This window comes from Homo sapiens, chromosome 10 (genome assembly GCF_000001405.40).
Source record: "Homo sapiens chromosome 10, GRCh38.p14 Primary Assembly".
NCBI lineage: Eukaryota > Metazoa > Chordata > Mammalia > Primates > Hominidae > Homo > Homo sapiens.
Window position 1 is genome coordinate 26,235,768 of NC_000010.11, and position 24,576 is coordinate 26,260,343.

The window sequence follows — 24,576 nt, forward strand, 5'->3', positions numbered from 1 at the left end:
GGAAGCTAAGATCCCAGCTCAATAATTCACATCTCAAGCTCTGAATCCTTTGAAAGCCTAAACCATGAGCTCAATTCCAAATTCCTCTTATTTCTTTGTGGCACAAGCTCTTCCAGAAATATCTTCCGCGAAACAGCATAACCTCATCTAGGAAACATATTCTTCCTAATCATAACAAACAGTGGCTCTTTAGGCAAATCACCGTAACTAATTCGCTCCGCTCTTCACATGCCAAGCCTGGCCCACACCCACATCCCCCAGAACCAGTTGCCAATGTTCTGCTGAGGCCCCTTGTGGCTTCGACCCACTTCTGTGGGGAGGTAATTCTCAAAATTGCTCTATTTTAGTTTATTATTTTATTTTGGAGACAGGATTTCACCCTGTTACCCAGGCTGGAGTACAGTGGCACGATCATGGCTCGCTGAAGCTTCAAACTCCTGGGCTCAAACACTCCTCCTGCCTCGCCTCCTAAGTAGCTGGGCCTACAGGCTTGAGCCACCACATCTTCAGAAAGATGACTTTCTTTTCTTTTTTCTTTTTTTTTTTTTTTGAGATGGAGTCTCACTCTTGTCGTCCAGGCTGGAGTGCAATGACGCAATCTCAGCTCACTGCAACCTCCGCCTCCCGGGATCAAGCAATGGTCCTGCCTCAGCCTCCCAAGTAGCTGGAATTACAGGCGCCCACCACCACACCCGGCTAAGTTCTGTATTTTTAGTAGAGACGGGGTTTCACCATGTTGGCCAGGCTGGGCTGGAACTTCTGACCTCAGGTGACCTGCCTGCCTTGGCCTCTCAAAGTGCTGGAATTACAGGCGTGAGCCACCGCACCTGGCCATAAAGATGACTTTCACGTATCATTATTGGAGAGGTTTTTAGTTTCAAAAATAGATCTCCTTTAAAAAATTCTTTTAAACAGTGACCTGTTTGGAAACAGGGCTGTTTGGGCAATTTGGAAACAGATGACTTCCACAAAATGTATTGCTCCCCCCTTAGTCGGAACTGACAGTGAGTGAAATTGTGGGCTAAATCTATTTACCTTCAGCACCCCTGCTCCTGTGCTGCATTCCTACCTCCTTCTCACCTCAGGGCCCTCATCGCTCCCATGTTATTTTCTCCTCTACCCAGTCCATCCAAACCTCCTCTCAGGAAAGAACCTGAAAGCCTTGCTGAGATGTAAGCAATAGGTAAGACCTCCCCATTGCCTCTCCTGGGGATATTCCCATCGCACTCAGAGAGGCAAAGCTGTGAGGTGCTGAGACACAACTCAGCCACTGTGCAGAGAGATGCTTCCTTTATTCCTCCCTTCCTTTAGTGCTGCAGGCGCCAGGCGTTGCTTCTGGCACGGGGGAGAGAGCAGTGGGCAGAACACACCCAGTGCCCGCTCTCAGCAAGTGTCCCTTGTTCTGGGGAAGAAAGGGATGGGAAGGGGCTCCTGAGATCCCATCCACGCCAGGTGACGGATGCTCCCTTGTTCCCAGTGCCAGGTCAAAAGTGGCTGAACAGACTTATTGTTCTCCAGGTTAGTGATATATCCTGTGAGCTTTGGAATTGATGAAATGGTGACAGGCCCTGCTCTGCCACCTCCCAAGGCATGACCCTTCGTCTCCTCCTCATCTGTAAAATGGGGATGATGATACCCAGCTCCCGTAGCTGTGGGGAGGATGAAGCAAGATGATACATGGGAAGGGTAGTGCACTGCGCATGGCTCTCGGTGAGCCCCTCACAGATGACACTGTCGTTAGAAGGAGCTGAGCCCAACCAGGAGACGAGACAGAGGGAGCAGGGAGAGCAGAGTCGGGGCCAGTGATTTCCTTAAGAGGGATGTGCCCTTCCTCCCAAAGTGCCAAAGCAACACTCAAGGATCCACAGCCTTGGGAGAGTCTAGATCCTAGATTGCTACTTGTATAATTTTGAGATTTCCCTACATACATATATTTATTTTAAGAAGTAAAGTGAATTAGCCGGGTGCAGTGGTTCATGCCTGTAATCCCAGCACTTTGGGATGCTGAAGCAGGTGGATCACCTGAGGTCAGGAGTTTGGGACCAGCCTGGCCAACATGGTGAGACCCCACCTCTACAAAAAATACAAAAATTAGCAGGGTGTAATGGCGGCACCTGTAATCCCAGCTACTTGGGAGGCTGAGGCAGGAGAATCACTTGAACCCGGGAAGCAAAGGTTGCAGTGAGCTGAGATCGCACCACTGCACTTCAGGTGACAGGGCGAGACTCCATCACACAGACACACACACACACACACACACACACACACACACACACACACAAGAAAAGAAAGGGATTGACATGAATTTTGTTCGAAGATTTCACAATGCCACTTGAGGTAAGGAGGGAGACCTGAGGACAGTATCACATTAGGTAGAAGGATGGGAGGATAGGAAAGGCTACCCTTTTTGGGGATAGCCCAAAAAATGATATGTAAGGCACCTCACATGCCACAGCTACACTTCTCACATCAATTCTGCCAAGAGAGGACTTCATCATTGCACCTGAGCAAATCATGGCTCAGCATGAGAAAGTAATTTGCCTAAATAGAAGCAGGTGTCAAACCCTCATCATTGTGCCTCACATCACCTCTTTCCATTACACACTTTCATTCACTCTTCATGATCCACAATCATAGAAATAATTGTTGTCCACAGAGTGCTCAAAATGACTGAAGACATACTCACTACTGATGTTCACATTTGTCACTGAAGATCATTCTTGGATCTCTTTTCATGTTAAACTTAACCTGGTACACATCATTCCTTTCATTTGACACTTATTTAGGGTATAAGCTCACAATGGGGCCACCTTGATCTACTAGTCAGAACTGAGTGTGACTAATAAGATAGCAGCTTCACAGACGTGCCTGTGTACAGATCCACATCACCTGCGAATCACACAGTCTCTAAAAATGTGTCTGGGAGGTCCCCTCCCCTCCAGATCATTATAATTAGAAACCAATGAGGTGGTCTCCCAGAGCACAAGCTTGTTTGTAAATCCAATGCTTTAGCAAGAGAATGTTCTTTCGGGCCAGCTGGCGAGCAGAAGTAAGGACAGAGGCGACCAGTATTTCTAAGGAAGCTGTAGCTATCATTTCCCTCAAATCTTAGGGTGTACTGTATAGGAGCAAGCGAATGGAGGTGTCAGAAGGATGTGAAGGAGGAGGATACGGTGAGAACTGCAACTGCTGAGGGATTGGCCCCGGGGGATGGTGGGGTGGGGGGTGGTCAGGAAGCATGAGGAAGGGTCAAATGGGCAGATTCCAGCTCATTGATAGGCTGGGCTTCAAGATCTACTTGTTGAGGACAATATATAATGATCCCCATTCCCCACACACCCACTAATTCCACCCACAAAGGGTGTTGGAACAAAAGAATCAAGCCTGAGGACAATTGGTCAATTGATGGATCTCAGAGCTGGAAGGTAGAATGCTTGATAGGATGTCAGAAGAGTTAAGAGCTAAGATTTCCCAGCCAGTGTGTCCTTTCTCTTTATTTGAGGTCTCTGTGTTGCTTCTTTCTTCCCTCTAGCAGCTGGCTTGGTTAGGAGAACACACAGCTGCCTCCAGCTTGGGCAGGACCCCACCTTAGGCCTTCTGGAGCAGGTGCCAAGAAGACCCCTGGTCTTGCTTTTAGAATAGGCTTTAGATTTGAGGCATTGGGGTCCACGGAGTCCACCAGAGCCACACCAACATTGGGATTTGTGGCCAGATAGTTAAGGCAATAAATAGTGACATTTCCCCGGACTTGTTATCTGAATATGTGGTCAACAAATTCAACAAATATTTTGTCAATTATACGCTATGACAAAGTCTTCGCCCTCATGCAGCCTGCTGTGTTCTCGTAGTGGACACACAGTGAACTAATATTAGAAATAGTGTCTTGTGGTGATGAGATTAGGGTGGTAGTCAGCTACTTTACAGGATGGTCATAAAAATATCTCTGTGTGGAGGTGATATGTGAGCAGAGACCTACATTGAATGAGGGAGGGAACCATGTAAGTATTTGAAGGAAGGTTTTCCAGGAAAATGAACGGCAAGTGCAAAGACTCAGAAGGGAGAACAAGTTTAGCAAGCTCACAGAAGACCAGGAAAGCCAACGCACCAGGTAGACAGAGTGAGGGGAACAAAGACAGAAAATGAGGTAGGGGAGGTTGCCAGCCACTGAGGACTGTCTTAATAATCTGTGTCCTCCAAGCCCAGCAGAGGCTTGTCCCTGAAACCCTGTGATCTGTTAGGCAGTCAAATCTCAGTCTCAGTTAAATATTTGGATGAAATCAGCAATGGCTTGAAATAATTGATATGGCTTTCCAGATGTCTTGTCCCAATTCTAATAGAGGAGGAGAAACCGGCATGCCAAGATTCTAAACTAGTTTGTCTCAGAGCTTTCTACCACTCACCTTACTCTCCCACCATCTCTAAAGGGATTAGATTTACTGTCCCCATTAAAGAGTGAAGGAGCTCATGCTGCACCCTCCAGTCTAGGGCTAGGAGGGATGGGCGCTGCCCTCTCCAGCCTGATACGCTCCTTCTCACTCACTCTTAGCTGAATATTCTCATCCCACTCAAACCTAGAAAGCCTGCTTATTTTTTTAATTACAAATATTTTATAATTATAAAATCCCTTATTTATTTGTGCATGTTTTAAGGATAAGCTGAATCATGTAACCTGTGTCTGGTTTACCTACATATATTTTTTTAATAGAGAAATTACTCTTCCTTGGGAGGCTGAGGTGGGCAAATCACTTGAGATCAGGAGTTCGAGACCAGCCTGGCCAACACAGCAAAAACCCATCTGTATTAAAAATATGAAAATTAGCCAGGCATGGTGGCAGGTACCTGTAATCCCAGCTACTCAGGACGCTGAGCCAGGGGACTCACTTAAACCCAGGAGGCGGAGGTTGCAGTGAGCTAAGATCAAGCCACTGCACTCCAGCCTGGGCAACAGAGTGAGACTCCATCACAAAAAAAAAAAAAAATGTGGATGGGTGCAGTGGCTCACACCTGTAATCCCAGCACTTTGGGAGGCCGAGGCGGGGTGGGCGGATCACGAGGTCAGGAGATCGAGACCATCCTGGCTAACGCGGTGAAACCCCATCTCTACTAAAAATACAAAAACAAAAAATTAGTCAGTCATGGTGGCAGGCGCCTCTAGTCCCAGCTACTCCGGAGGCTGAGGCAGAAGAATGGCGTGAATCCGGGAAGCGGAGCTTGCAGTGAGCTGAGATCGTGCCACTGCACTCCAGCCTGGGCGACAGAGTGAGACTCCGTCTCAAAAAAGAAAAAAAAAAGAGAGAGTGAGAGAAATTATTCTTCCATCAATCTTTACTTTTTCATTTAGTAGAAAATAAAATTATTTGGGCTTTAATATCTATTGTCCTTAAATAGAAATATGATTTAATCCTAAATAAGCACTAGATTCTATTATCAAGGCTCTACTGTAATTTTTCGCAAATCCAGGGAGGGGACGAGGGTATTCTCATTAGCTCATTCCCAAGCCATTTTATTAATGAACAACTGATCATTACAAGAGTCTTGATTATTTTGGGACAAATTTGAATTCTTGTAGCTTCCAATTTTTGTTCAGAATTTTGTCTTCTGAAGCCATTGAAGAGTGAAGGAACTCATGCCACACCCTCCTGTCTAGGGCCAGGTGGAGTAGGATGCTGTCCTCTCCAGCATGATGTGCTCCAGAGCAGCCTATCCCCTGATCCCAGGCTTGGCACAGCCCTTCACCTGAAGGCCACCCATGTCACATATCCTTAATGCCCTCTGCTCATTTCTTTTTTTTTTTTTTAGAACTGAGGTGTCTTTTATTTCAAAAACGGATCTGATTTTCCTAACAAAACTTTCCCCAACACGTTACCTTTTTCTCCAAGTTTCCTCTGTCTGTACGTGTATGCACATGCATGAGTGTGCACACACATGTATTTTTAGGTGGAAGTACAAAAAATTGAAGTGTATTGAGGTATTTTGGAAAACTCTATAAATAGCTTCCTTGCATTGAGGGGAAGAGGGCCTTTTGGCCCTTTGATGATAATAGGTTGTTATCTTCTGAGGTGTAGTTTGCGTCCTCACTCCTCTGGGTGGTCTGCTAGTATGTGCTGCTGACAGATGTAGTTGCCCAACTCAGCATTCTTTGCTAAAACATCTCCCCTCAATTCTTGTTGGCCTTGCAGATACTGTTGAATCACTGGTTCCATTTGTTTGTTTGTTTGTTTGTTTGTTTTTGAGACAGAGTCTCACTCTGTTGCCCAGGCTGGAGTGCAGTGGCGTGATCTTGGCTCACTGCAAGCCAAGCTCCGCCTCCCTGGTTCATGCCATTCTCCTGCCTCAGCCTCCGGAGTAGCTGGGACTACAGGCACCCGCCACCATGCCTGGCTAATTTTTTTGTATTTTTAGTAGAGACAGAGTTTCACCGTGTTAGCCAGGATGGTCTCGATCTCCTGACCTCGTGATCCGCCTGCCTCAGCCTCCCAAAGTGCTGGGATTACAGGCGTGAGCCACCGCGCCCGGCCACTGGTTCAATTTTTATATTTGTTTCCAGAGAACCCTCTAGGTTCTCTCTAAACACCTGCTTTCCAGCCTTCTCAGCATCCAGGTGGTTGTTCTTCAGACACTCTTTTCCTCTGGTTCATCAACAAGTACTTCCATTCAAAGTGGTGCTAAGGAATAAAAACGACTGTCCACATGTGGTCTCGCCGGCCCAGAGAGACATGCCATTTAAGCTATCTTCACTGTTTCTCCCTCATTAGGTAGATGCTTTTTCCTCTCAAGTTTTCTTCCTCTCCATGGATTCCTTTCTATTTGTGAATAACGTTAAGCTATTTCTCTGCTCCCTTTCCTCAAAATATAAACAGACTCGATGTTTGCTACCTAATTTTCTTTTTCATGCTTCATCTCACCTTTGTTCCCTGTCTTTAAGCTTTCTATCTGGGCATGTGTTTTTCTTTAAATCTGCAGCATTTGGTACCGTGATCAATTATCCTGGGTAATTGCTCCTCATTTAAGAACCCCTATTCTTTCTCATTAAAGACTAGACAAGAATACGTCCTCCCATTGACCAGGTGCACCAGATCTCTTACTTATCCCCAGTTCGCCTTTTTGCAGTTTAGTGCTTAAGAGCTCATTCACAGAGGGGTGTAATTTGAGTGGCTTGCATGTACTTAGTTGGGGCAGCTGGCTGTCTCTTCCCTTCTGGCTGTAAGAGACTTAGCTTGCCTCTGAGCTCCTTCTCTTTGGGGTCGCCCAGGGCTCTGCCAAATGCACAAAAAACCCCCCCCCTTTTTTTGGTGGGGGAGGTCATGCATCTTTACAAACCTTGATCTAATTAAGCTTTCTCCTCTAGTTCCTAGGTATCACGGTAATGACTGTCCACTTTGTCATTCTTAGGTTGTAAAATGAAGCTAATGGCCCTTTCTCATTGCTTCTAGCTGCACTGAGCTTGTCAAACTCCACAGCTCCAGGTCTCCTTGATTGGTCATCATTATTTGCTGCTGTTATAAATGTGATTTCTTCTTGGTGATTAGACATACCCCCTAAAAATACATGTGTTAAGAGTTCCTGTGCTGTGTGTTTGAGAATTCAGAAGAGTACAAAAGTGGGCATTCGAAGAGAGAGGACCCTCTTAGGATCCCTAACTTAAAATTCCAGTCAGCAGCCCTTTGGAGATGTAAATTGAGGAAGCAGCTCTTCTTTTGGACAGCTTAATGATGTGTAGTTAATAGTAAGAGGCTGATGGGCAGATGCAGTACAGCTGGGCTTAGGTTAGCCTTTCTCAGCTCTCCAAATGGCACGGTGATTACAACCATTGAGACACACAGTCCTACCCGGAATCAATAACCAAAGGCACAAAGACTTTGGCGGTGGCTTGGCAGTGTGGCCTGTTCTGTACACGCAGACAAGTCATTCTGCCCCAGCCAGTAATTGATACCTCTTTTTTAAAGCCTGACTCAGGCTTGGCAGTTGCCTGTGCAACAAATAGCCCCTCCAGCAACTGGAATAAAGAGTGCTAGATTTAGGGTCACTTGTCCTCTTACCTGAGTTTACTGAGTTTCACTGAACCTGGGAGAAACTGAGTGTAACTTCTTGGTAACATATAAGCCTGGGAGCCATACAATACATAGCTGCTGGAGCTGGTTGATGTATTGTTAAGCCTTGTATGTAAAATTGGCTTTGAGTTCCTGTGTGTCAGGTTATTGGATCCATTTACAATTTCCAGCATCTTTCCAGTTTCCCTCAAAAATCTCAACAAGAACAAAAACTAAATAAACGACTGTATTCAAAATGGGCAAAGAACTTGAATAGACATTTCTCCAGAGAAGATGCACAAATGGCCACTAAGCACATGATGCTAAGCACAAGATGTTCAACCTCACGGATCGTTAGGGAAATGCAAATCCGAAGCATAATGAGTTGCCATCTCTCATTCATTAGGATGACTGTTATCGAAAACAGAAAATTATGATTGTTGGTGAGGATGTGGAGAAATTGGAAACCTCGTCCACTGAGAGTGGGAATGTAAAATGGTACCGCCATGATGGAGCACTGTATGGATGTTCTTCCAAAAGTTAAAAATAGAAGTGCTGTATGATCTAGTAATTCCACTTCTAAGTATCTACTCAAAGCAATTGAAAGCAGAGTCTTGAAGAGGCAGTTGTACCCCCATATGTCACAGTAGCATTATTCGCAATAGCCAAAAGGTAGAAGCAACCTGTTTGTATAAATGGATGAATAGCTAAACAAAATGTGGTATGTACATGTAATAGAATGTCATTCAGCCTTAAAAAGGAAGGAAATTCTCACACATGCTACAACATGGATGAACCTTGAGGACATTATACTAAGTTAAACCAGTCACAAAAAGTCAAATACTGTATGTTCCACTTATGTGAGGTACTTAGAGTAGTTAAATTCAAAGACAGAAAATGGAATGGTGGTATTCAGGGGTTGGGGGTGGGGAGAATGAGGAGTTGTTTAATGGGCACGGAATTTTAGTTTTCAAGATGCAAAGAGTTCTGAAGATGGATGGAGGTGATGGATTGCACAACACTGTGAATATATTTGAAACCACTGAAATGTACACTTAAAAATGGTTAATAAGGCTGGGCACAGTGGCTCATGCCTGTAATCCCAGCACTTTGGGAGGTTGAGGCAGGTGGATCACCTGAGGTCAGGAGTTTGAGACCAGCCTGGCCAACATGGTGAAACCCTGTCTCTACTAAAAATACCAAAAACTAGCTAGGCATGGTGGTGGGCACCTGTAATCCCAGCTACTTGGGAGGCTGAGGCAGGAGAATCACTGGAACCCGGGAGGCAGGGGTTGCAGTGAGCTGAGATTGCACCATTGCATGCCAGCCTGGGCGACAAGAGCAAAACTCTGTCTCAAAAAAAAAAAAAAAAGAAAAAAGAAAAAAGTTAATAATGCACAGTGGTGCCTGTCGGGGCTGGGGTTGGGGGTGTGGGGGGAGGGAGAGCATTAGGAAAAATAGCTAATGCATGCTGGGCTTAATACCTAGGTGATGGGTTGATAGGTGCAGCAAACCACCATGGCACACGTTTACCTATGTAACAAACCTGCACATCCCGCATGTACCCTGGAACTTAAAATAAAAATAAAAAAAAAATAAATAAAAACGGTTAAGATGGCATTTAAGTTATGTTGTTTTACCACAATTTTTTTTTTTTGAGACGGAGTTTCACTCTTGTCTCCCAAGTTGGAGTGCAATGGCGCAATCTTGGCTCACTGCAACCTCCGCCTCCCGAATTCAAGCGATTCTCCTGCCTCAGCCTCCTGAGTAGCTGGAATTATAGGCGCCCGCCACCACACCCGGCTAATTTTTTTTTTTGTATTTTCAATAGAGACTGGGTTTGACTATGTTGGCCAGGCTGGTCTCAAACTCCTGACCTTGTGATCTGCCTGCCTCGGCCTCCCAAAGTGCTGGGATTACAGGCATGAGCCACCACGCCCAGCTGTTTCACCACAGTTTTTAAAAAAGCACAAGTGAAGGATGCCATCTTCTCTCAGCAGCCCAGGCTTTGGAGGAACAGACTAGAAATGAAAGGAAAAAAGGAAAACAGAAAACAAACAGCCAGTGGAATGGATCTTGTCTGTATATGGAACTAATTGCAAATATATATATTTTTTTTACAGAGTCATTTTTCTCTCAAGAAGGGAGCTGCAGCCTTAGGGATTGGAACAGACAGCGTGATTCTGATTAAATGTGATGAGAGGTGAGCACGCATCGGCAACTCTTGTTGGTTAGCAATTTGCAAATTCCACACAAGTAGTGCCTTTTGGTCTGAAAATAGGAGAGGACCACGGGGCAGCAAGTCCACCTCCCTCCCAGCCTCTGCAGCCTTCGTTTCTTTTTAACATGGGCTCCTGCTTCTGTTGCTCAGATGTGGTTCCTTGATGCCATGGAGCCTTCCACAGCCCTTGCCTGAATCAAAACCTTTGTTAAATCCATCAAAATATTCTACACCAAGAAAGTGCAGAAAGACTTTCATCACCTGGGCACGTTAGCAACAGCAGGCACTTTGAGCACTGATTTATGGAGGTGTCATCACTTTGGGCACCATAGATAGTGTAAGCTTGATGGGGTGATTACAGGAGGGGACGTAGTATAGGGAGCAGGAAGTAAATAAAGCACCAGCAACTCAACAACTGGAACCAGAGGACTCAGGGGAAATCCCTGTCTTAATTGACACCTGAACTTCACAGGGACTCTGGGATTCAGTGCGGTGCTTTGTGGGAGAGATTTTAGAATGTCCACGTAAAGTATCACTGGCCTGTAGGCCTGAAGCCTACTAAAAATTAGATTCAGTCTCTAAAGTTTCATTAAGAATTTTCATTAAATTTAAAGGAAGCCACTCAATTGGCCATTTATTTATTTATTTGTATTTATTAGTCAGATGTGTACTGATTGCCCACCATGTCACTAGGCTCTAGAAAAGCACCATACGTTGATCCCGGTTCCCTGCCAGGATGTGAGCTAGGTGGGAAGAGGCAGTGTCGTCAGAAGGAGATAGTTACAGGGTGGAACTGCATGGCATGAAGTACACATTTGAACTTTGAGAAGACCTAGAAAGCTTCATGCAACAGGCAGGAATTGAGCTGGATTTTTAAAATTAGGAGTGAGCTGGACAAGTGGAGGGAAAGGCAAGGGCAGTTACAGAAGATTGAATACCAGCAGCAAAGCTGTTACAGGAAAGGGGTCCTGATCCACATCCCAAGAGAGGATTCTTGGATCTCGCGCAAGAAGGAATTCAGGGTGAGTCCATAGAGTGAAATGAAAGCAAGTTTATTAGGAAACTAAAGGAATAAAAGAATGGCTACTTCATAGACAGAGCAGCCTGGAGGCTGCTGGTTGCCCATTTTTATAGTTATTTCTTGATTATATGCTTAACAAGGGGTGGATTATTCATGCCTCCCCTTTTTAGACCATATAGAGTAACTTCCTGACATTACCATGGCATTTGTAAACTGTCATAGTGCTGGTGAGAGTGTAGCAGTGAGGAGGATGACCAGAAGTCACTCTCGTGGCCATCTTGGTTTTGGTGGGTTTTGGCAAGGTCTTTATGACCTGTATCTTGTGCTGACCTCCTATCTCGTGACTTAGAATGCCTTAACCGTCTGGGAATGCAGTCCAATAGGTCTCAGCCTCATTTTCCCCAGCTCCTATTCAAGATGGAGTTACTCATATTCACATGCCTCTGACAAAGCCACAGGAGGAGGAATGAGCACCTCACGGGGTCCAGAAGCCAAGCCTTAGCAGAGGCATGGGGGAGGGGCAGCCACAGCAAATACGGTGGCTCACGTGGAATTCAGAAAGCTCTAAAAATCCGGCTGGGGGCAGTGGCTCACGTCTGTAATCCCAGCATTTTGGGAGGCCGAGGCGGGTGGATAACCTGAGGTCAGGAGTTCAAGACCAGCCTGGCCAACATGGTGAAACCCTGTCTCTACTAAAAATACAAAAATTAGCCGGGGGTGGTGATGTGCGCCTGTGGTCCCAGCTACTCAGGAGGCTGACACAGGAGAATCGCTTGAACCCAGTAGGCAGAGGTTGCAGTGAGCCGAGATCATGCCATTGCACTCCAGCCTGGGCAACAAAGCAAGACTCCATCTCAAAAAAAAAAAAAAAAAGGAAAAGAAAAAAAAAAAAGAAAGCTCTAAAAATAAGCCATGTTTACCTCTGTTAGCGAACCAAACTGAGGTTCACTCGCCAGCAGCAGTGAGGCCAAACATCCACACACAGGTTTGCAGCAGGAGAAAGGAGGACATTTATTTGCAGGGCACCAACCAAGGTGAATTGAGCAGCTCATGCTTAAGACTCAGCCTCCCCGATGGCTTGCAGGTAGGGGTTTTTAAAGGCAGGGATAATTTCAGGAAAGCAGAAGTTACAGGCAAATTGCAAATCAATACATGGTGGTTACACATCAGTTTGGCCCGAAAGGGTGGGATATCTTGAAGCAGGACTTATAGGACATAGGCGAATTCAAAGGTTTTCTGATTTGCAGTGGGTTAAGGAAGAGCAGCTTTGCTTAAAATTTTGAGGTCAGCAGAAAAGAATGCTAGCTCTGGCCCAGGGGTGTGCCTCCCTCCAGGCCCTTCAGGAAGAAATTTAGAGCAAAGAAAGGTGGTCAGAGTTCAGACCTCAGTTTCCCCTCATCTGAGGTTTACGTACCAGCCAATCCATTTGGTGGGAGTCCTGGAGTCCTGGTTTGTGAAAAACAGCCCAAGGATGTATGTTAAGATGTTACCTTTAGTTTCTACAGGGAATCAAATATCCTGTGGTTCTAACTTCCTCAGAAGCTGATCGTTTACTTCTCAGGTCTTGCTAGTGCCTGGAATTTCCCTTGAAGGAACTCGTTTCCCTTTATTTTCACACTTAGAAGTATTGCCTGAAGACCACTAAAAGGGCTCCCTGCCCCACTCAGCTCTGGGTGATGAGGTTAAAGAAGCTTACCACTTTCTTGTTTACACCTTTTTATATTGCCTGATTTTGTTTGATTGCTGGCAGAGAACATAGCTTTGCAATCAGAAAAAAAAATGGTGTTATTTTTTCTTTTGGGGCAAGGAGAGCTAAAGTTAGAATTTAAGCTGGATAGGTCTGGAAACAAGGTAACTGGAAATAATTTTCATTAAAGAACATGAGTGAAGCCACCCTTCAGGAGGCAAGATAGGCGAGAGGATCTCCAGTCAGGAAGGCCAGTAGGAGGCCCTAGCAATTAGACAGGCATTAAGGATAAAAGGATGGGAGTGAGGCAAACACATTTTGGAAAAGAAATTGCCTCTTTTTTTGGCGGGGGAGGGGATGGAGTCTCGCTCTGTTGCCCAGGCTGGAGTGCAGTGGTGCTGTCTCGGCTCACTGCAACCTCTGCCTCCCGGGTTCAAGCGATTCTTGCGCCTCAGCCTCCCTAGTAGCTGGGACTACAGGCACTCGCAACACGCCTGGCTAGTTTTTGTATTTTTAGTAGAGACGGGGTTTCATCATATTGGTCAGGCTGGTCTTGAACTCCTGACCTGAGATGATCCGTCCGCCTCGGCCTCTCAAAGTGCTGGGAGCTGCCTCATATTTTTAAGGCTACCAGTGTTCCTCAGTAGCCGGTACTTAAGAACTGAGATTTGAAGAGAAAACTGGAGTTTAAAAATGTGAAGAATAAATGTTTAGATGACTTTAAAACTTTCTTAATCTGTAGTTGATCTGTTATGGGTGAGGAGCCTGGAGTTGAGGGAAGAATCACCTAGAGGGCCGTGGCCCGCTGGCCTAGGCAGTCTTCCTTGCTAGCCTTGGTAGCTGGCGTTCTCCAGTGAACCCCAGGGGGCTGAGAGGTGACTGGCAGAGCAGTAGGGGCTCTTGACTCTACTCTTCAAAGCATCGGCATCACTGCTCCTACTCCTGTGAAAATCAGGTGTGACCGCAGAAGTGGTCTTGGATGAGTCCACCAGGCCAGCTAGGCGGCTCATCATGGGAACAAGGGGCCTGCCTGAGGACATCTGCCCATCTAAAGGCAACACTCTGCTCACAAGAGAAGTTCAGGCCTAGAAGAAGGAAGACCAAGAAGGGAAAACAGAGGAGTGGTGGGGGAAAGGGACCATGGACAGGGCTGCCAGGACAGAGGCAGGAGGGGTTTGCCATGCACCACCAGGAGGGCGGAGAAGGAGGCAGGAGGGGGATGCTGGAGAGCCGGCGGGACCTACGATCAGTGACTGGCCAGGGGGCCTCAAATGTGAAAGTCAAAGATATTTATTTCAACAATTTTTTTTTTTTTAAGACATGAGGTCTTGCTCTTTACCCAGGCTGGAGTGCAGTAGCCCATTCCAGCCTGGAATTCCTAGGCTCAAGCAATTCTCCCCTCTCAGCCTCCTTAGTAGATGGGACTACAGGCCCACACTACGACACCCAGCTCATTTTTGTTTGTTCGTTATAGAGATGGAGTCTCACTATGTTGACCAAGATGGTCTTGAACTCCTAGCCTCAAACAATCCTCTCATCTCACTCTCCCAAGTAGCTGGGATGAGTCATCACACCCAGCTTATTTCAACAATTTTAGAAGTCATTAGAACAACTGAAATACAATACTAAAAAGTATGCTTTTTTCAGAAAATGGCTCACTCTCTAGTACCCCTGTCTACTCACATACACCCCTTGGGAGAGACAGAGGGAAATGGGCCACTGGGCAGCTAGGGCTCGGGGCTTTCTCCCTTTGTGCTCATAAGCTTTGTGGGATGAGGGAAGAAGGAGGGGTCGGGAGAGGCAGGAGTAAGAAAGAAGGAAGTGGGAAAGAGCAAACAGAGTAAGAAATAAAAGGTGGGAAAAAATAAGGCCTACGAGAAAAAAGTTTGTGACGGAAAATACAAAGTAAAGCAAGGAGGAGAGATGGTGAGGGCAATGTGAGTGGAAGCCAGAAACACAGTGAGAGCTTTAGAAGGAATAAATGACCATATTTACCATTTAAAAAGCAATATATGCTCACTTTTTTTAAAAAAAAGAAAATAACAGAAAAATCATAGTTCCACTGTACAAAGATCATCGCTAATACCACATTGGTGTCTAAACCTTTGAAACTCTTTTTCTAAGCACAGAAATTTGTTGGGTTTTTTTTCCTTTTTTTTTTTTTTTTTTTTGAGACAGAGTCTTGCTCTGTCGCCCAGGCTGGAGTGCAGTGGTGTGATCTCAGCTCACTGCAAGCTCCGCTTCCTGGATTCACGCCATTCTCCCGCCTCAGCCTCCCAAGTAGCTGGGACTACAGGCGTCCACCACCATGCCCGGCATTTTTTTTTTGCTTTTTTTTTTTTTTTTGTATTTTTTAGTAGAGATGGGGTTTCACTGTTAGCCAGGATGGTCTTGATCTCCTGATCTCGTGATCCACCCACCTCGGCCTCCCAAAGTGCTAGGATTATAGGCGTGCACCACCATGCCCAGCCTCATCTTTCTTTTTCTAATTAGACATGATAACATGAGTATTTTTCCACATGATTACAAACACAAACACACTTAACTGTATAACATTTTACATATGAATATGTCAGAAAGCATTACAGTACATTTAGAGAGCTGGCTTTGGAGCTGGCTTTGGAGCTGGATTATTTAAATTCCAATCTCAGCTCCAGCACTAGCCTGGGCAAATGCCTCTCTGTGCCTCAGTTTCTTTATCTGAAAAAACAAAAAAGTAATGGCGCCTGCTTCATAGGATTGTTATGAAGATTCAATGTGTTGACAAATGTAAAATGCTGAAAACAATCCGACAATGGGATAAGTCCAAAATATCAGTCCCCTGCTATACATTTTTCTATTTCTTGTGTTACTGTTACGAATAACCTTTGTATCCTTCAGTGAACGTCCTTATGCATCCATAGCTTCTCCATTTAGGACAATTTCTTTCTATTCTTACTAATTGAAATGATATGAATGTTTTTAAGGAAATGGATGCATCAGATTAACCTTGCAAAAGATTTCATCAATTTGTTCTCCTAGCAGCATTGTATGAGAGTATGTTGGAAAAAAATTTTAACTGTGCTATTAGCTATATGGCATCTTTGACTCTATATTGATAATTCACATCATCTGTGTGACATGAGTTTAAGACTGAGAGCCTGGCCCTAATGGTTTAAGTGACATTGAAGTGTTTGGGTTCAGAAGCCAAGGAGAAAGGTGTGGACAATCATTTGTAGCCACCATTGGGGTCAGAATCAATTAAAACACTCTCGGCAGCCATTTTATTTTTATTAGCACGTCCTTGTAAAAGTCAGATGTACAGTTCAGAACACCACGTAAGGCTGACAAGGTGAGAGTCTTCATGCTTGTTTCCCGTAATGCGCTTTGTAAAGTTCATTCAGCCTTCCCAAAACACAAGCCTGGACCTGCCCTCTGTGGCTTTCAATTCTTGTAGTTACCCGTTCCTACCACACATTAGTCTATCAGTGGCTGGGTGATAGGTTTTATTATGTTCTGCAGACAGTTGAAGGTTCACAACTGAGAAGAAATGTCCCAGTGAAAGAGAATAGTCTGTGTCTTTCTAGCAATAAGCCCAATGCTGCATGTGGAGGAAGATCCTGCGAGGTACATTTTTTTTTCTTTTTTTCTTTTTGAGACAAGGTCTCACTCTGTCACCCAGGCTGGAATGCAGTGGCACAATCTCAGCTCACTGCAGCCTCTGCCTCCCAGGTTCAAGAGAGTCTCCTGCCTCAGCCTCCCAAGTAGCTGGAATTACAGGTGTGTGCCACCACGCCCAGCTAATTTTTGTATTTTTAGTAGAGACAGGATCTTATCATGTCACCATGTTGGCCAGGCTGGTCTTGAACTCCTGACCTCAGGTGATCCACCCGCCTTGGCCTCCCAAAGTTCTGGGATTACAGGCATGAGCCACCATGCCCGACCCGGTACCCCTTCTTTTTTTTTTGAGACGGAATCTTGCTCTTGTTGCCCAGGCTGCTGGAGTGCAATGGCGCAACCTTGGCTCACTACAACCTCTGCCTCCAGGGTTCAAGCGATTCACCTGTCTCAGCCTCCCAAGTAGCTGGGATTACAGGCATGTGCAACCACACCCAGCTAATTTTGTATTTTTAGTAGATATGGGGTTTCTCCATGCTGGTCAGGCTGCTCTCGGACTCCTGACCTCAGGTGATCCACCCGCCTCGACCTCCCAAAGTGCTGGGGTTACAGGTGTGAGCCACCATGCCTGGCCAACCCCTTCTTAATTAGCAGTCACAGGGGCTAACTTTGGGTGACAGTTCAAAGTGAAACACGGTTCTCAGTTAAAACAAAAAAAAAAGTTATAATAAATCTTTGTTTGTTTGGACTAGGTTCTTTTAGAGTTGAAAATTAAAAAGCATTTTAATTTTATTAAATATACTTAAAAAATGGAATAAGATAAGGTAATGTAAAACTTCAGTTCTCGTGGCTTTCATTTTGATGTGAAGCATTATAACTAAACAGGAATATTCTATTTTGTAAAAATTACTTATTAAATTCGAAAGAAGAAAATGTGTTAGGTGAATACAAGATTTCATAAGTTACAGCTTGAGGTTTCCTTTCCTTGTTAACAAAAAGTTGAATATTCAGTGATGAGGTTGATGAATTTTTATTCATGTCATTCATATTTGCAAAATTTGAATTAGTGGAATCTAGATTCATGATGTGTAGCTGTAGCTAAGAATAGAAAAGAAAAGTGCATTAATATAGAGAGGAAAATAAACATTTGTGAAAGAAAACAGAGCAATATTTCAGAATTTGCTTGGGCCACTGAGCAAAAAGATGTTTCCCAAATATCCAGTCAAGGGAAGAGGAGAGAAAATTTCTATTGTATGGATGATAATTTGGAAGGATGGGGAGTTCCTATATGATGGAAGTGAGCTCCTGTGAGCTCCATCTTTTGGCTGCAGGCAGTGGTCTTGATTGGAACACAATGGCAGACATGGTGGATGTAGTCCAGTCTAGCGTGAGATGAGCACAGGAAGGGAAGCACCATGATAGAGAAAGTACTGGCTGTTATTGATTCACATCCAGTTCTGCAACTAGGGGAAGGATTATGGGAGTCATCCAGATAAAGAGAAGAGGCAAAAATGTCCCAGGCAGACGCCACAGCACATTCTAAACCAGGTCCCCAACCTTTTTGGCACCAGGGACTGGTCTCATGGAAGACAGTTTTTCCACGGACAGGGCTGTGAGGGGCGGGGGTGGCAGATGGTTTCAGGATGAAACTGTTCCACCTCAGATCATCATCAGGCATTAGTTAGATTCTTTTTCTTTTCTTTTAATTGAATTAATTAATTTATTTATTTTTGAGACGGAGTCTCACTCTGTCGCCAGGCTGGAGTGTCCTGGCACGATCTCAGCTCACTGCAGCCTCTGCCTCCCAGGTTCCAGTGATTCTTCTGCCTCAGCCTCCTGGGTAGCTGGGTTTACAGGCTCACGCCAGCACGCCTGGCTAATTTTTTTATTTTTAGTGGAGATGGGGTTTCACCATGTTGGCTAGGCTGGTCTTGAACTCCTGACCTCAGGTGATCTGCCCGCCTCGACCTCCCAAAACATTAGTTAGATTATCACAAGAAGCACACAACCTAGATCCCTCACATCCGCAGTTCACAGCAGGGTTCCTGCTCCTATGAGAATCTAATGCCACTGCTGATCTGACAGGAGGCGGGGCTCAGGCGGGAATGCTGGCTCAGGGCTCACCTCCTGCTGTGTGACCGGTTCCTAACAGGTCACCATTAGTACTGGTCCGTGGCCCGGGTAATGGGGACCCCTGTTGTAAACCATGGATGTGAGAGAGAACCTGGCTTGTTCAAGGAACTGAAAAGAAGAGAGGACTTGGTCAGAATGTCCTTGTCATGTGGGCCTTATGAGCCATGTTAAGCCGTTTGGACTTCTGACTAAAAGACATGGGACATCACTGAAGGGTTTTGAGCAGGGGAACAACAGCATATTTTTGTGTTAGAAAGATTATTTTAAATGCAGAGTGGGCGGGATGAGAGACTGGAAGTTGGTGGATGTTGTAGTCATATGAATGGGAGATGATGAATAGCGGGCCGACCAGATGCAGAGCAAGGGACAGGGAGTGCTGGAATGAACAGGAAGTGTTGGCTGATTGGTGTGCAGGTTGAGACAGGAGGCAAGGATGAATGCCAGGCTTCTGGCTTGCCAGCTAAGTCCAGGCGTTGCTATTCTCTGAGATAAGGGACCCTGTCTGAGGTGAACCATTCAGATTTGGAGATACTGAGTTTGACGAGGTTATGAGACACCGAAGTGAGAGTGTCTGGTAGGCAGGTGGAAGTATGGGCCTGGAGCTCAGGAGGTACACTAGGGAGGCCGTGCAGAAGGTGGCCTGGGAAGGAACTCTCAGGAGCATCCACACTTCAGGGACAGGCAGAGTAAGAGCAGCCTACAAAGGAGATTGAGGAGGAGCAGCCAGAGTTGTCAGAGAATCAGAAACCGGGGCCACGAGGGCCATGAGAGTGTTTCCAGAGAAAGGAGTGGTCAGCTGAATCAAATGCTACAACAGGTGAAATGAGGGCCAACAACTGCCCATCAGCATGACTTCTAAGGAGGCGGCTGATGAGTTTGGCAAGGGCAGTTTCAGTGGAGGGGTGAGGGCAGAAGGCAATTTGCAGTGGGTTGGGGTGAGGTGAGTGGTAGATGAGAAAAGGGAGAACTAATACAGGCAAGGTCCAGGAGGTGGAGCCGTGAAGGGGAGGAGGCAGGGCTGAAGCTGGAGGGGAGCTTTGAATCCAGGGTGGCTTTTGGCTTTGTTGTTTAAAGGAGAGGGGCTTACTGCCCATTTCGCTATGAGGTGGAGGACCCACTAGAGAGGAAATGTGAATTATGGAAGGAAAGAAGGAAGGAAGGAAGGGAGGGAGGAAGGAAGGAAAAGGGGAGGGGAGGGGGAAGGGGAAGGAAAGAAGGAAGGAAGCAAGGAAAGAAGGAATGAAGAAAGGAAGGAAGGAAGGAAATAAAAAATCGCAAAGGTTTAATTTTCGTTATTGAGTTTCCTAGTCTTTTGACTAAAATTGTGTAGGATCTTTCCCTGAGAAGCTCACACAAACTCTGAAATTATTTCAAATCCTAAAATTGGAAGGAAACAGAGAGGAGAAAGCAACGGGAGAGTGATGTGTGATGGCAGGTGCAAGGAGGACTGGGGAGGGATGGGGAGGAAGGAGGGGAGGGGCCAGCCTGGGCTTAGCCTATGTTGACAAGCTGCTAATGACTTTCAAATCAGACACCCTTAGAGTTGGAAAGGTGCTCAGACCTTAGCTCATCCAACTTTTTTTTACATTGTATTATTAAAATAATTTCAAATTTAAAGGAAAATTGCAGGAATAGTAAAAAGAATGCTCATATACCTTACACTCAGATTCACCAGTTATAAACAGTCTGACACATTTGCTTTCTCTCAATATATGCTGTATATAAAATCCAATATTACATATTGAGTGTAATATTGTATGTATTAATTATATATGTATGTATATATGCATATTATATATATATATAGAGAGAGAACCATTTGCAAGCTCCTTGCAGACATCACGCTGTTTTACCCCTTAATATCTCAATGTATGTTTCCTAAAAACAAGGATATTCACTTACACAATCACAGGCCAATTATGAAAATCAGGAAATGTGACATAGATAGAATACTATTATTAAATGTACATACCTTATTCGTTTCTTCAGTTGTCCCAATAGTATCCATTATAGCTATCTTTCCCAGTCCGGGATCACACGTGGCATTTAGTTGTCATGTCTCTTTGGTCCCCTTTAATCTGCAATGTTTCCTCTGCCTGCCTTTGTCTCTCATGACATTGATGTTTTTTATGAGTAGAGACCATTTAGTTTGCAGGTGATTTGGATTCATCTGGTGTTTTCCCATGATTAGATTCAAGTGATGCATTTGGCTTAGGACTTTCAGGAGGTGAAGTTTGGCTTTCTTGAGTGCATCTCATCTGGAGGTTGGTCTCATTATCAGTAATATCAACTTTGATTTTTTGGTGAAGGCAGTGTCTGCCAGGTCACTCCGCTATGAAATGACTATTTTCTCCTTTGCAGTTAATAAGTATCTTGCAGGGGATGCTTTGTGTCAGCATAAATACCCCGTTGCTTCTGAAATGTTCACCCACTAGTTTAGCATCTACTGATGATTTTTCCCTGAATTATTGTTGTGATGGTTGCAGAACAGTAATTTTCTAACTCCGTCATTCCTTCTGTATTTATTAGTCCTTTCATTCCACTGTAGGGAAGAGATTTTGTCTTTTTGTTCTCTCTCTTGCTGTCTCTCATTTATTATCAGTATGGACTCAAAACTATTTTTAGAAATTAATATGCTCGGCTGGGTGCGGTGGCTCATGTCTGTAATGCAGCAGTTTAGGAGGCTGAGGCAGGCATATCACCTGAGGTCAGGAGTTCAAGACCAGCCTAACCAACGTGGTGAAACCCCATCTCTACCAAAAATACAAAAATTAGCCAGGCATGGTGGTGGGCACCTGTAATCCCAGCTACTTGGGAGGCTGAGGCAGGAAAATCACTTGAACCCGGGAGGCAGAGGTTGCAGTGAGCCAAGATTGCACCACTGCCCTCCAGCCTGGGAGACAGAGCGAGATTCCGTCTCAAGAAAAGAACAAATTAATATGCTCTAGCACCTTCTTCCACTCATTCTCCCTGCTCTCTTCCATTCACCTCTTTCTCCTCCCCTCAGGGTACCCCTGCCATTATCTGAATTACTCATAATTTGTTGTAAAACCTTACAGAAAATAAATCTGACCAAGACGCATGATACCTAGTGGCATAGGACTACAAGAGTCATTGGCTTTCCTAGCTCCCATGTAACACAAGAAATCTGTTAGCCATTTTGATTAATACTTTTATACCTACTACTAGTAGGTATTAGCTACTAGTACATTTATATACATTTTAGCCTTTCTTTTAAACGTATCACTCCAGCTTTATAAATTACAGTTAGACTACACTTCCCTGTGCTTTTTAGTACCACACTTTATCATACAATTGATTTAAACAATTGAAAGTATAAATAACCTGGGGTCATTATATTCTTTTGTTAAATTAGCTGAATTGTAACCAGTGCCTGAGGGGTCGTTAGGGATGCTAATTAACTCTTTCGGGTCCTTGGGAAGCTGTTCAGCGCATTGTAGTGGGATAGACTTCACAGAGACACCGAATCGATTATTCCTGAGCAGGGCTGTGGGAAGCCCTCTGAGTGGCATATTTCCTGTGGGTGTAGATGCAGAGAACTCAGGGATGCTAGTCCTGTGTGTACTTCATTCTGCCCTATCTCAGGAAGGACTATAATAACAGCTGACACTGATTGAGAGTTTATGCCGTGCCAGGCACAGCTCTAGCCACTTTACAAAATTGACCTAATTAATTCATTTAATTAGAGACACAAAATAGTATATTCTTTCACATTTATCTGGTGCTAACATAGTTTACAAACAACAGTTTTAAACAGTATGACAAGTTTTCTATCATAGCCCCTCACAGGGGATATGTCTAACATCACATGGCTTGTAAGTGAAGAGTCAGGGTGTGGACTCAGAAGAGAACCCTTAGTGTTCATTAGTTTAAACAGAGCTCCTTTTTTATTGTGATAAAATACACATAACATAAAATTTCCGATCTGAGCCATTTTTAATTGTGCATTTCAGTGGTGTGAAATACACATATTGTCGTGCAACCATCATCAATATTCATCTCCAGAACTCTTCTCACATTGCAAAATTGAAATTCCGTGCTCATTTAACACTAACTCCCTACCACCCCCTCCCCACTATCCCCAGGAAACGTCCACTCCACTGTCTCTACGAATTTTACTACTATGGGTACCTCACTCACATGAATGGAATCATACAGGATTCGACTTTTTGTAACTTGTCTATTTCACAATGTCCTCAAGGTTCATCCATGTTGTAGCATGTGTTAGAATTTCCTTCCTTTTTAAGGCTGAATAATATTCCATCGTATGTGTAGATCACATTTTGTTTATCCGTTCATCCATTTATGCGTACTTACTTGGGTTGCTTCCACCAATTTTTTTTTTTTTTTCTTTGAGACAGAGTCTCACTCTGTCACCGAGGCTGGAGTGCAATGGCACAATCTTGGCTTACTGCAACTTTTGCCTTCCAGGTTCAAGCGAATTTCCTGCCTCAGCCTCCCAAGTACTTAGCTGGGACTACAGGTGCACGCCACCATGCCTAGCTAATTTTTGTATTTTTAGTAGAGACAGGGTTTCACCATATTGGTCAGGCTGGTCTCAAACCCCTGACCTCAGGTGATCCACCCACCTCAGCCTCCCAAAGTGCTGGGATTACAGGCGTGAGCCACTGTGCCCAGCCTTACTTCCACCATTGACTAATAGGAATAACGCTGCAATGAATATGGGCTGAAAAATTACATCTTCAAGACTCTGCTTTCAATTATTTTGGAGTAGATACCTAACAGTTGAATTGCTGGATCACATGGTAATTCTATCTTTAATTTTTTGAGGAACCATCATACTTTTTCCTCAACTGTTTATCATTTTACATTCCTGCCAGCAGTACACAGGGTTCCAATTTCTTCACATCCTCACCACCACTTGTTATTTTTTGGGTTTTTGGTTCGTTTGCTTGTTTTTCATAGCAGCCTCTTTATGGGTATGCAGTGGTATTTCATTGTGGTTTTCATTTGCATTTCCCTGATGATTAGTGGTGTTGAGGATTTTTTTTTCATGTGCTTAGTGGACATTTGTATACTGTTTTTGGAGAAATGCTTACTCAGGTCTTTTGGATTGGTTTTGTTATTGTTGTTGTTGAGTTTTAGGACTTCTTTATTCTAGATATTAATCCTTTATCAGATATATAATTTGCAAATATATTCTCCCATTCTGTGAGTTTCCTTCTTACTCTGTTGATAGTATCTTTTGTTGTACAAGTTTTTAATGCTCATGAAGTCAAATTTTTCTATTTTTTTCTTTTGTTGCCTGAACCTTTGGTATGATGTCCAAGAAATCATTGCCAAATCCAATGTTATGAATGTTTTGTCCTATGTTTTCTTCTAAGAGTTTTATAGTTTTGGTTCTTACATTTAGATCTCTGATGTATTTTGAGTTAATTTGTATTTTGTTGTATAAGAGATGGCTGCTTTTTAAAAATAAGAATGACAACATAATTCTCCTATTCCGGAAGCCACACATATTCATTGTAGAAAAATAAGCAAATAAAAGAACCTAGATATAATCTGTCATAGTATTTGATGGCATGTAGTTTAAAATATATTTACATATATTTTAACATAAAAGACATATAAGTATTTACTTAACATAAAAGACACTATAAGTATTTACTGATTAGAAATTTGTTTTTTACATAGCAAATATTATGGACGACTTGCATGCCTTAGAAATTCTTCAATACAATTCTCATTCACTATTTAATAATCCACTGTTTATAATTTATATTACTTAACAAATCTGTTGTTAAACATTAAGTTGCTTTAAACTTTTACTATTAAAAAATGCTATTATAAACATTATTGCGGGTAAATATTTGCACATATCCTTGTATTATTTTCTTAAAATAAC

The 24,576-nt window shown here is 44.0% G+C and overlaps 1 protein-coding gene across 2 annotated transcripts in view; it reads left to right on the forward strand.

Moving 5' to 3' along the window:
• Nucleotides 1–24,576, forward strand: part of GAD2 (glutamate decarboxylase 2) — an 88,187-nt gene that overhangs the window by 19,396 nt on the left and 44,215 nt on the right. For both annotated transcript variants that reach the window (NM_000818.3, NM_001134366.2), the window contains exon 8: nt 10,154–10,233. In NM_000818.3, the coding sequence (NP_000809.1) occupies nt 10,154–10,233 (80 nt within the window). The remainder of the gene's footprint in view (nt 1–10,153; nt 10,234–24,576) is intronic.